The 13,358-nt window shown below is 39.2% G+C and overlaps 2 long non-coding RNA genes across 2 annotated transcripts in view; one reads left to right on the top strand and one right to left on the bottom strand.

Annotated features, from left to right (window-relative positions):
- MIR217HG (MIR217 host gene) overlaps window positions 1–12,314 on the bottom strand; it is an 83,921-nt gene extending 71,607 nt beyond the window's left edge. The window contains exon 1 of the long non-coding RNA NR_126406.1: window positions 12,210–12,314. This is a non-coding gene — a long non-coding RNA (MIR217 host gene). The remainder of the gene's footprint in view (window positions 1–12,209) is intronic.
- Window positions 1–13,358, top strand: part of LOC105374690 (uncharacterized) — a 231,734-nt gene that overhangs the window by 89,189 nt on the left and 129,187 nt on the right. The gene's annotated exons all lie outside the window — the stretch shown is intronic.

Consider the following 13,358-nt stretch of genomic DNA (forward strand, 5'->3'; position numbering starts at 1 on the left):
ATTGCATGTGGCTTTCCCTATGATCAAGACATAAAAATCTCAAGTTAACAAAGGGTTATTTTTGCATTAGAATGTAACGGGGCTTTAACACATGAATTTATAAATGCTCATTCTTATTGTGAACATTAGCCTCTGTGTGGTCAGTCATCAATAACGCAGAATTTATGGGAAGTATCTATCTCTTTTTCCTCTTTCCCTTTATCACCATCATCTTACTTCGATGTGACTATTGACTGTGATTGATTTTTAGGAGTGTGGCTGTAACTGAGAAGACCACCTTCTCTCTGTTGTTGACTCTCGATTTTCTTGGAAACATTAACTCCTTACACATGCCCAGTCTTGATAGATTGTGAGGGGTTTAAGCTTATCTTGTGGGATTTCAACCTTCTTTGTTTAATGGTCCCCAATCAGTGATCCTTCACACCAAATTCCTCATGCTTCATGGGGAAGGGGTACTATTTCCCATGGTGGAAAGTGATCTAACAGATAAATGATATGACAACATGTTAAATCATCTTGGGGTAATTCTTTTTTTTTGTTTGTTTTTGAGATGGAGTTTCGCTCTTGTTGCCCAGGCTGGAGTGCAATGACGTGATCTTGGCTTACCGCACCCTCTGTCTCCCCGGTTCAAGCGATCCTCCTGCCTCACCCTCCTGACTATCTGGGATTACAGGCATGCGCCACAATGCCCAGATAATTTTATACTTTTAGTAAAGACATTTCTTCATGTTGGGCAGCCTGGTCTAAAATTACTAGAAAAATAAAAGTAATCTATTATAGTAATTTATTTAAGTGATTCTTATATTTAAAATACCAGCAGTTAAATATGCCTAGGAAAATCTAAATAATGACCCATTGGTATTGGAAGGAAATTGGGGAAATGTTTAACCTAAAGGGATGACTTCCTAAAATTCAGTAGAATTTCAGTCACTGCGATACCTGGGAAGGGAAGGTAATTTTTTTGGGAGGTGCATGCAGTCGGCTTTTTTCATGCTGTTTGAGTTATAATAATCAAATAATTGTCTAAATCGAGCATGAAGGTTTTCTTACTTCTATATGTTCAATAATGTATTGAAATTTAAAAATTTATGTAAAGCAGAATTTAAGGAGTCTGTTTGCAAATCTTAGTATACCTAATAGATTTTAAGTTCTCTGACAGCAGGGGCTATGCGTTTTACAGCTTTATTTCTCAGTACTGTATAGTAGAAATTTTATATACTTACTTATATTTAATATCATTATTATATTTGATAGTAGATATTTAATAAATATTAGTAGATTGGATATGTTGATGCGTTTTTAAAATTTAGTTTGTTTTGAGGCAGAGTCTCACTCTGTTGCCCAGGCCAGAGTACATGGCATGATCATGGCTCACTGCAATCCCTGCCTCCTGGATTCAAGCGATTCTCGTGCCTCAGCCTCCCGAGTAGTTGGGATTACCGGCACGTGCCACCTTGGCATGGCTAATTTTTGTGTTTTTAGTAGAGACAGGGTTTTGCCATGTTGGCCAGGCTGGTCTCAAACTCCTGGCCTCAAGCAATCCACCCGCCTTGGCCTCCCAAAGTGCTGGGATTATGGGCGTGAGCCACAGCGCCTGGCCAGATATATTTTAAAAATTTATATATAAACATACTATCATATGGGTGAGAGCAATCACTAATTGCCATATTCATGTTCTCTGATTTCTGGTTCTCCTTAACTAATATCACATTCAGGCACCATATAGCACTAATTACATTTTTTGCCTTACTATTCTTTAAGAGGTCATTTGAGATATTAGTGTTTAATTTATATTCATGTATGAAAATTCTATTTTACATCCATTTCTTTCTTTTCTTTCCTTTTCTTTTTTTTGACAGAGTCTCGCTCTTGTCGCCCAGGCTGGAGTGCAGTGGCGCGATCTCGGCTCACTGCAAGCTCTGCCTCCCGGGTTCACGCCATTCTCCTGCCTCAGCCTCCCGAGTAGCTGGGACTACAGGCGCCTGCCACCATGCCCGGCTAATTTTTTTTGTATTTTTATTAGAGATGGGGTTTCACCGTGTTAGCCAGGATGGTCTCGATCTCCTGACCTCGTGATCCACCCACCTCAGCCTCCCAAATTGCTGGGATTACAGGTGTAAGCCACCGCGCCCGGCCTACGTCCATTTCTTGAATATGCTTCCTTACTTAAGAAAACTGTGCTTTGGAGAAATGCCAGCCTCTTCTATAATGAACATCCATAGTTATTGTTTGAAGAGAAAATTTAATATTACTTTTTAATAAAAATAGCAGATGGCCAATATAAAATCCATGTCATTATCAATAATGCTTTTACTACGTTTCTGAGTTTATATTTCCAAATTTCATTCCTAGGAGTAGAAAAACAAGTATATATTATTTTGCTCTAAAAATAATATTAAACTCTCAATTCTATCTAAGAAAACTCTGAAAACTGTAGAAGAAAAGGATTTTTTTGTTTTTTCTTTTTATTTATTTATTTTTTAAATCCATGTTACCAAAGTCAGAAAACTTTTTCTGTAAAGAGCCAGACAGTAATTATTTTTCATTTTGGCAATTCAAAAAGCCAGTTTTTGTTGCAACTACTCAGCACTACCCTTGTAGGGAAAACAGCCGGAGACAAATGGGCATGATTGGATCTAGCCTGCAGTTCTTAGATTCTTTCTCCAGTTACAGACACTATTAAGCTAGTGTTATGGAGGCACTATTGAAGTTTCAAAATGTTGGCAGTAATGAATGTGTGGGAGGAGATTGATGATAAATCTGTGGAATCTGCAGTGACTGAAACACAGCATTGGCACTAGCTTTAAGCAGAAAAACCAGGTCCTCTGGTGCCCAAGTGAAAGGAGAATACTTTGTTCTTCACTCTGTTTTAATGGTATCAGTTGGTAGATGTCCATTGGCCCTGTCACAAGGTGATATGTGTATAGCAGATGGTACCAGCACAAAAGCAAGTAGAAGTTTGTTTTTGATTGGTTACTCATTGCTTCCTCTTTGATACCAAACTGATAGCATGGGCGCTCAGTTTCTATACTAAATAAAGGAAAAAAAATTAGCAATCCATTATTCTTCCATTTAGACCAATCCAAATTGATTGTCCTCCTCATTTCCAATTTATGTTGCCACATGACTCTCTTAAACCATAACTTCAGGAGCAAAAGTATTTATATATTTTTGCTGAGTTCAAGGATTTAATGTGCTGAGCAACATATCATTCAAGGAGCTGACCTACCATTTTCTGATTGATAATGGAAATGTTAATGTATTGTTAGTCCTCTTATTTTTAGCCTAAAGTGAGCTAATAACTAGAATCATTATGTTGTGCCTATAAAGTGTTCAGGCAAAAGGGAAGGTGTAGAAGTTGAGGTCTATTTGTCAAGTTAATTATAATATTGGAAAAGCGAATTATATTGAAGGAAAAATCCAATATCATACCCTTTTGCTGGTAAAAGGGGCAATGGAATATCTAATTTCTGAACTCTTGTAATGCTATTCTTTGGATACGTTTATTGCTGAAAATTTTACCCATTAAATCCATGTCTTATAATAATTATTAGCTCAACATTTACTACTGTGAAACCTAATATTTCACTGCATGAAACACACCATTTCTCTGAGACTATTGTCAGTCTCTCTGCCCTGATCCTCTCATGTTGCCATGACATTCCATAGAGTAGCCACCTGCTCAACCTGGGCCTTCTAGCTCTGTGCTCTACAAGGTACAGGCTCCTACCAAATCTGAAGGGGAGTGAGAGAAAAGATGAAAAGAAACCCTGGGTGGTGGTCAGGAAGTGTCCTGTCAACCCTCTGGGTGGGCCTGCAACATGCATTCTTCATGAAGGGATATCGCCCCCCCCGCCCACCTCTGAGTAGGGAAGGGGTACAAATATCAGTGTTTGAGGAGCAAAAAAATCTGAGTCATGACAATGGCTTGTGGCCTTTCAAAGGGTCACAGTACATAAACAGATATATAAACAATGTATCTGTGGCATTACAACGTCAAGGGGGAGCAATTAGAAAAAAGGCTAAAAAGACTCCAAGGCAGGGGGGATGTAATTTTTAAAAAGTTGATGTATACTGCTGTGTGATGGAGAAGGAGGGCCGCTTTGCTTTTTTTCTTAACCATTCCAAAGCCCCCGATTTGGCCAAGTGAACAATGGACACCCTTGTGCTGGCAGATCACGTCTAAGTCCCAAAGGTGCCCGTGTTTGCCTTGTTGCAGGCAATGAGGGAGGCTTGGGCAACCCAGCTGTCTTCTCCACCAAGCCTAATCTCTAAAGCACTGGTTCATAGATGGCATCTTCTAGCTCCAGTTCTCCAGGTCCATATGCCTATTTGAAAAACACTCAGACACCAGTTGCATTGTTTCAAGCTACTTCACAGAGGGGTGTTCATGAAGAGTTATTGGTAAGGAGAAACTCCAAAAGACTTGAACATCCTGGGAGCATTTTCATGCTAACCAGTTTTGCTGTCTTTAGGGGAAAGGATTGGCATTTTTCTTTTCCACCAGAATAATTTAACCTTAAACTCTTTGTAAATGTCGAAATTCCAAATAACACTCCTCTAATATGTTAAAGTGGAAGGGGAAAAAGAAGAATGAAACACATCAGTTGGCCTTTCCTTGGTCTCTTGATCCCACACTCTCCCATGGTGAGGACCAGCAGAAGTGAAAATGGAGCTCTCTGGAAGAGTGAGGATTTTCCTAAGGCCGTCTCCTGTGCTTCCTCATCCCCAGCTCGCCACTTCTGGAGTAAAACAGCAGCTGTGCAGTGAGGACCCTGAGCAGATGAAGATCCAATTAACAGAGTCTCGGGCTGACGTGTTCACACTTGGAAACCTCTTTGGAGACAGGCTACATGGCAGTTACAGAAAGGATGTTCTCGCCTCTGGGATGAGCTCTGTCAGTCAGAAATTTATTTAAGACATTTACCCCCCCCACCTCCTGCAACAATTGGTGAAATTTGGGAAAGATGCTAGAGTCTAATGATCTCGTTTCTTTGCTATATATTCTCACAAAGTGAATCCTACAGAATAAAAGATTAATTGAAGATTAATTGAAGGTCAAGGAACTATTTATCAGTGCCAGGCACTGCTCTCAGCACGCCGAGGAGTAAAAAGCAGTCTGGGTATGAAGAAGCTGATGGGAAATAAGAAAGTATAAACCCAACAGCAGGAAAAAGCAGAACTTGAGCATGCCATGAGAAAGGCACAAGAAAGGTACTGTGAGTGATCAAAGAAAAACGTAGATAATGTCTGATTGGAAGGAGTAGGACACACTTCCTGGAAGAGGTGACGTGTGAGATAAATCTGTAAACAAGCATATGATTTGAAGGTAGGATGGTGGGAAGCCTGTTCTAGAGGGAGGGAAGTATGTGAGCAGAGGCTTGGGTGGGAAAGCACCAGGTGCATCCAGGGAACAAGCAGCTGGTTCTGGGAACCGGAAGTTACAGGTGATGTTTGAGAGAGCAGTTTTTTTTTTTTTTTTTTTTTCCAGTTCAGGGCAGAAGGCACCTGTAAGAGTGAAGGAAGGAGGAGGAAAAGAACTGGCAGAGGCTGCAAGGTCAGATGGCTCTTCAGAAGGCCTGAAATGGAGTTGAAAGACAGGGCAGCTCATTCTGCAGCAACCCCCATATATTTTCTTCTGAATTTTGAAGGGTTGTGTGAGCTGACTTCCTTAATATCAGGCCAGACATCTTGGTGTCCGTGTGAGAGGTTAGACTAGGGGGAAACAGAGGAGAACCTTAGAAGGGAAGGCTCCTTTCTCTGTCACACCTCAAAATTTAGTGAGTCTCTGCTGAGTCCAATAGGAAGTCCTAGGAAAAATGTGTGACTCAGGTTGGATGGACCCCAGACCACCAGCCTGCAGCTCTGATCTTACTGGAGAAGTAAGACTCATCTCTAGTTTTACTGAGTGACATAGTCAAGTCCTGACCAATCTGGGCCTCATTTTTCTGGTCTTGTGCATGGTGCTATTACCTTCCCTACATACACAAGATCCAATTACAATCTAAGGTGCTCATGTCTGTGAAAGCACTTGCAACATTTTTTTTTTTTGGTACTGGTGTAAGATGGTAGTGTGAGTCATAAGTTACAGGTTTTTTAATAAGCTCTTTGCTCCACTGGTCTAAAATATAGAATCTGAGACTCTAGGGGTTATTTTAAACTCATAGATCCATAGAATGTAAACACTGAAAGGGACTTTTTAGTACCATCTAAACTCCCCTTGGTGAAAGGCAGCACACCATCGTGGTTAAGAGTGTAGATGCTGAAATAGATTCAGTAGATGCAAATTTCATCTCCACTACTTAATAGTTACATGATTTTGAACAAGACTATTTTAACCTCTGTGTGCCTCAGTCTCCTCATTTATAAAGTGGGGGTGAAAAATGCTCTCTAGCTCATAGAATTGTTGTGAGCTTGAGTTTGTATGTGTAATGCCTTGAGAACAGCACCTGTGTGTAATAAGTACCATACGCACCGTGATAGCTAGTTCGACTGACTTGTTTTTCACATGAGGAAACAGAAATCTAGTGAGGTGAACTGACTTGCTCAAGGCACTTATTTGCCCAGTGGCAGGGCCAGGACATTAGAATGTGTTTCCTGACTCCCAGGTCAGTATCTTTCTATTTCCTCTCAGTGTTCTCTGTTGATTCAGTCAGCATAATTTGCTTTTGGTAAAAATGTTTAAATGAAGAAAATTATGCCAAAATCTTTCAGGTGTTTTCAATGGGGAAAAAAATCATGGAACTTCAGGGAGAAGGAAGGGTCTCTCAGAAGGACCTCTGTAAAATCTGTCCTTTGACTTGCACGTGGGCCACTGAGGAGAGAACGTCTGGTCTTTCACTGACAACATCTCTCAAATAGCCTTCATAGCATCCTAACTTCGAACAAATGTAGAGTTTCCAGATCACAGCTGGATAAAAAGCAATATTTCAAATAATAATACTCTTTGTAGTAGTCATTGGCTAAATTTATGTATTTTTATTTTTATATCTCATAACAATCGTGGAGGTTGGATGAATTATCTTTATTTAAAAATGAAGGCAAGGTAAGGTGGTTCACACCTATAATCCTAACACTTTGGGAGGCCGAGGCAGGAGGATCGCTTGAGGCCAGGAGTTTGAGACCAGCTTGGGCAAAGTAGTGAGGCCCTGTCTTGACAAAAAATTTTTAAAAATTAGCCAGGCATGGTGGCGTGTGCCTGTAGTCCCAGCTACTGACTCAACATCTCTAGTGGTGAGGTCAATAAATCTGTATTTCTTCTGCATGCAAAAATTTGAGCAGCACTGTGCTACAAGCCTTCTTCCCAAGTCCCATTCTGTGTTAGCCCTGGAAGAGCCCAAGCTTTAGGACAGAGATGCCAGGAACTGAGCACTTATCACTTATTTGGCACTGGGGCCTGATGCTGTGGGCCATGCCACTTCCCTACCATTTTCTGTAACCACTCAACAACTGCTAAAGAAGGTTCTCAGGCTCTTTAGGAAAGAGCCTTACATTCTGTATGCGAAGACAATGATCAGAAGGGATGACAACTCACATCTATTTCTGGAGTATGAGGAAGAATCAATTGTAATTGTGAAAATACCTCCATGTTAAACCTTCCAGTAACACTTTTACTACAAAATAGGAAAGAGAGAAGCTTACTGTGGACACAGAACTCAATGTCTCTGGATATCAAGGGAAAATAAAGGAGCTTTAAAAAACAGAAGCAGCCAAGGGCAAGTGGTCGAATCTCTTGCCTAAAGAGGAAGAATGTTTGTGTCCCCTTTGAAATGAGTGAAAATATACAACCTGTTGTGTTGCCAGATGCTTTGACCTAATACGTCCCAGGTACTATGCTTTTAATTTGTTGATGACTCAAAGAGCACTCATAGAGTGATCTGGCAGAATACAGGAAGATGATTTTTGCCATTGCTTTTAATGGCAAAAACAGCAATTACTTTTGCACAAATGTAATGTTAATAATTACTTCTAGATATCTCTGTCATTAAAATGCCTGAAATGCCATTGTTAGAGATGCATTACTTATGGCTAAATGCTTCATCCAGGCATCTTTCCTAGCAGATCTGGGGAAATATGGCCTATTGACATTAAAATCCCATTGTGAGATGGGACTCTGGAGAACTGGAGCATGTGGGGATATTGGGGTGGAGATTGGAAAGGGGGGAAGCTTTGCAGAAAGGAAAATAATAACTTTCTTAAGGTTTACCTTGTGTGAATCCATCACTCTTTCTAATACTTTGTGAAGCTCCAGCTAACCAGACCAGAGCCAACTTTTAGAGTTGACAGCCCTGCCTTCATCAAATGCCCCTGGTCAGAGAACCCTGAGCAGAGACACAGTTGGTCCCTTTGACTTTGGTCTGTGATTGAGGAAACGGCAATTTCTTTTACCAGTGGGCCATTGCTGCCAACCAGCTGTGGGCATTGCTAGATCTTCCTCTCTTCACCTGGTAATATGCAGCCAGGTCACATGCCAGACCCTGACGTATGCCTCCTTCAGTTTCTGATCTCCTTTTCCAAATATCTCCATCACCTACCATCCACATCTGTAATTGTACTCTATGAGTCTTGAAGACTTCAGAAATCACTTATAATATGAAATATAGCTGCATGTGATCATATTTTATTTTCTGTTATCTTCCTTAAACATGACTTAATAATTCAGCAGATACTAATAGATGGTCATTGAGAACAAAAAGGAGACAATTTGGGAATATTATGATACAATGATGCCAAAATATTTTGCTCACAGAGGACTTTGCAGAGCTGTAGAAAGGACAATAAAAAATAAAGTGAAAAAAAAATTACCAAAATGAATACTAAGTTATTCTTGTATGTAAAATATGTAAAAGAGTAGTGTTGTAAGAGGCCCCAGAATTTGTAAATGGGAATAACTTAAGGTATTGGGTTTTTTCTTTAAAGTTGCTATTTAATAGGATTCAGATACTTAGATGCATTTTCTATAGCTTCAGTGTATATATGTATATATGTTATATGTAACAGGTATATGACATATGTATATTTATTACATGTATTTATTTAATTTAGATATAGCAGAGGATAAAAATGGAGGAATTTCTGAAGGAACTGGATTGTAAACCAACCTTTCGAAGAAGCAGGTATTGAAAGAGAAAATTGCCATTTAGAGGGGATGGCATAAGCTCATGGAGGGGGAAATCACACACGAGGGGGCTACAGGCTGCTTGAACAAGGCACAGTGGCCAAAGGGGCGAGGCTGGGGGTGTGAAGTTCAAGCCAGGTGGAGGGAGCAGCTGATGAAGCAATCTGTAGGGGCAGCCTTGGTGTGGATATGGAGGGTTCCCAGTAAGCTCCTGGGCAGAAGGATGACTCCATATGAAGACTGTGAAATTGGCACTGGACAGACAGCTGGGTCAGGGCTGTTGAGGGAGACAGGGGACTGGAGGGAAATAAAGTGTCTGGTTGATCTCCAGCCATACACAGGTGAGTCTGACAAAGTGGGCAGAAATAATGTCTCCACCTCTTTCAGGGTGGGTGTGGAGGGTCTGCTCTCATTTCCCTCATCTAGGCAATTTCTTGGATAAAGATGAAGAGACTCGGAGGGATGGTTCCCTCTAGGTAAGGCTTTAGAGTGGGTCAGGTGGTCCTTTTCAGATGGCCCTTGCCCCTCCCTGCAGAAGGGGCTCAGGCTCCCTTCTGTGCATCTTTTTTTGAGATGAACTATTAGGAAACCCATCGTGTTCAGGGAGCTGTGTCTTTTGCCTTGTGGTAGAACAACGACACATGCATTCTGGCTGATGTCTGGCTCCATTTTTGGAACCCATAACAATTATTCCTTTAAAATTCCAGATTGAAATGGAGAACTGAAATCTGAAAGTGGCTCTTCAAATGAGTGGGGCAATGTGTTTTAAGCCTTTAATCTCGAAAGATTCCACTCACCTCCTCCAATTATTTTAGAGGCTGACTTTCTCTGAGAATAGAGAAGCAAAGAGAGGAAACTCATTTTAATCTAATGTACTCTTAGTCAGTTTAGGGGGCTAAGGCCACAATTGGTGTTTGAAGGGAAAAAAAAATAGACCCCCAAGTGTAGCCAGGAAGGCTTCCATTTTCTTCTCAGCCTTAACGCACCCTCAGGAAATGATTGAAGCCTGGGAAATTATGAATATCAGACTAATTGAACAGGAAAACCAGTGAACAGCTGCAATTTTCTATCATGGATTTTTTTTTTTTAAATTTAAGAGATAGGAAACCTTTTTATGCATTGGGTTTTCCAAATTGATTTCAAGAGTATATTACCCTAATATGTAGCAATTTTACACAATAAAAATTGGCTTTCTACTTGGAATTTTAGGCATGAGAGTTGCATCATGATTGTTATACTTATTCGTTCTCTGATGAAAGAAAAGAAGATTGAACATTAAAAGCTGAAGGTCATCCATACAGTTGTCCCAATAGCAATCTGTGTACCTTTAACCCTGAGGAGGAAAAGTAATTACCCTATGGCTTCTGGTGACCTCAACTAACCTTTGCTGAAGGGCCAGAGAAAATAAAAGCTGACCATCAGCCTGCCCTGGTTGCCCTGGGCTTAACCTGCTGTGTGAATGAAGAACAACCCAACAATAGGATGAGAGGATGTTGCCATGGAAATAGCCCTGGACGAAGGAGCAAAAATCAGAAATTTATCACAATTAATTGTTCTATTAAGAACCTCCCATCTTTTGGATTATTCCCTGGGGGTAGGGAGGGAAGATGTGTTCTCATTTAGATCTTATGAGAGAAAATTATGCTTGCATAAATGAGGCAGCCCATAAAGTAAAACCATTCTAAGTAGTGACGAGAATTGGACAGCTTTGTGAGAGACGGAAGGATCTATATCTCCTCATAATCTATAAAGATGCAAATGCAAACAGCCAGGACGAGGGCCAAAGAACCTCATTCTATCAGGGGAACCAGGTGAAGTGTGGGTCTGGACATACGTCTTTTTCATATTTTCAGTAGACTGTTGCCTGTGCTTTCATGCCTTGGCAAGGTCTGCAAAGTACAGGTAATGATATTTTAACAGTACAGAAATGTGTTGTCATATTTTATTCTGCTTATTTAGCCTTTCTGTTAAATAGAATCCAAGTTCTATGTATTTTTAACGTGAGCTTGTTTAGATCAGAAAATAGAAGCTTGCTATCCGATTATGTTCAGATTAAACTAGACTAATCCATGATGCTCTGGGTGCCATAGACTAATTGCAGAAAAAAGAAATGGAGTGAGAAATAGTTCCTTTATGGAGAACCTACAAGTTATCTCTTAGGTAGAAGCAGACGTATTTAAAAGTAATAATATTTTTATTTTTAACATGAGAATGTTTTCATTTTTATTCATCATACGAAGATGAAATTAGACTTTAAAAATGTGGATTTTTTTGATCAGTTCTTTCATTTATTTGTATTAAGTGGATTAATTAATTATTGAGCAACGGACTGTATGTCAACTTAACTTCTTTTTTGCATAACAGATAGCAATATGAAACACTATTTTCTGTATTTCCTAAATAGTGAGTTACTCATGTTAATCAGTTTTTAAAATAATTTGTGGTGCTAAAACAAAGCAGGTGGTTAAGCTCAGACATTGATTTTCTCTTTAAGGGGTACTTCATCAGTGAAATTTTAACCACCGATGAAGGAGAATATAAACCATAGTAGGCGTTCACTGAAGACTCTTCCTTACAATGAGAAGATATGTTTTTCTGTCACAGCATAAGATGCCAACATGAGTTTTATCCATGAATATATGAACCTATGAATTTTAACTCCAGATGTTGATAGGAAATTAATCTCATACTGGGAAGCATTATCAGCTTTCATTAGAACTTGGGAAGTTTACATTTAGTAGAAATAAACTTTTTAAATGAAGGGACATGTGTTGGAAATTCTGTTAACTAACAATGAAATCCAGCTCTTGGGCTTCTTGTTTACCCATCTGCTCTCTGCAGTTAGTTTATTACTCGTTTGGTGCGATTCTGGTATGGTTAGGGCCAGGATTCTGTTTGCTAACCCCCCAGGTACCTGTGGTTGGAAGGCCCATCTCAAATAATATAATAGACTTGGCCAGACTCATTCAACTCTCTTTGTGGCCTTTGGCAGGCTTTTAAGCTTTTTCTCTGCTATAGATAATAGTTTTTCTTAAGTGGCAGCAACATAGCTCTAAAAATACATCTACAGTAAGGTCCTAGTTGTACTTACCTTATAGTTCAGCAGCACCTTGCTGGTGGTGATCATGCTTCTTAATTTCCATTTGCTTTAGTTTGCTGGTAAGCACATACCTGCTTGTAGGGTGCTAAGAGTGTTCTTTCTGGCTGAGATGTTTGCAGCGTTGGCCTTCGTCTTTATAGTTCTCACTTTATTTGGAACCTCTCCAGGTTTTCTCTGTTTATTAACCCTCACCTGGATGGCTTGGCTGAGGCAGCGGAACCAAAAGTAAAGATGGTAATGGGTTTCTGTTGTTTTACCTGTTTGGGCCAATAGAAGAATGAAAGGGAGAATGATGATCAAGATCAAAATGTAAAAAACAGTGCTAATCTTTCCTTACATAGAGAGAGGCAGCAGATATCTACCTGGTCTCCCCCATTTAAAACGATTATGCATAATTTCTGCTGGTTTGGATAATCAGTTCTGTATTATAATTATGGAAAGATATTTAATTATGTACAGTTTACTTATGGACTACATTTTTATTGTTCTCAATTTTGTTCAGAGGAAAAAAATTATATATATTTAGTGAAGTTTACATAGAAATCTTGCCAAAATAATTTTGTAAGGAATAAGGTAGATCAAATCTCTCAATGACTAGACATTTAAGTGCAGACATGAGAGTATTTACTGATTTATAACTAATAAAGCTTCAACTTAACTGCTCTTTAATGACACCTATAAAAATGGTATTAAAGTGTGACGAGCAATTTAAAAGACAAGGACTACTGAGAAGAGTTTTTTATATTTTTGTAGCTATCTGCACTTTATTTTTAATCTTTTATTCTATGCGTGCAGACTTAACTATGAAATAAATCCACAAACTCTTCAATGTAAATGAGGAGCTAAATACAGAATGTAAGAATCACAAAAATAATTATGTCATAAATGAAAGTAAAAATTAGATGATAATATGTGTGTGGAAAAATGCCAAAAATTGCCAGCCACTACACTTTGAATGTACATATTAAAAAACCAACATGGCATTTTGTGAAGAGAGTTCAAGATAATTTTTATAGGGTTAACATTACATATTTTAAACAGCATGGTATTTTGTCAGTAGAGTTTAAGATAATTTATATAAGGTAAACATACAAAATTTTAAAATTGCATGGCATTTTGTCAAGAGAGTTTATGATAATA

Source organism: Homo sapiens, chromosome 2, assembly GCF_000001405.40.
Source record: "Homo sapiens chromosome 2, GRCh38.p14 Primary Assembly".
NCBI lineage: Eukaryota > Metazoa > Chordata > Mammalia > Primates > Hominidae > Homo > Homo sapiens.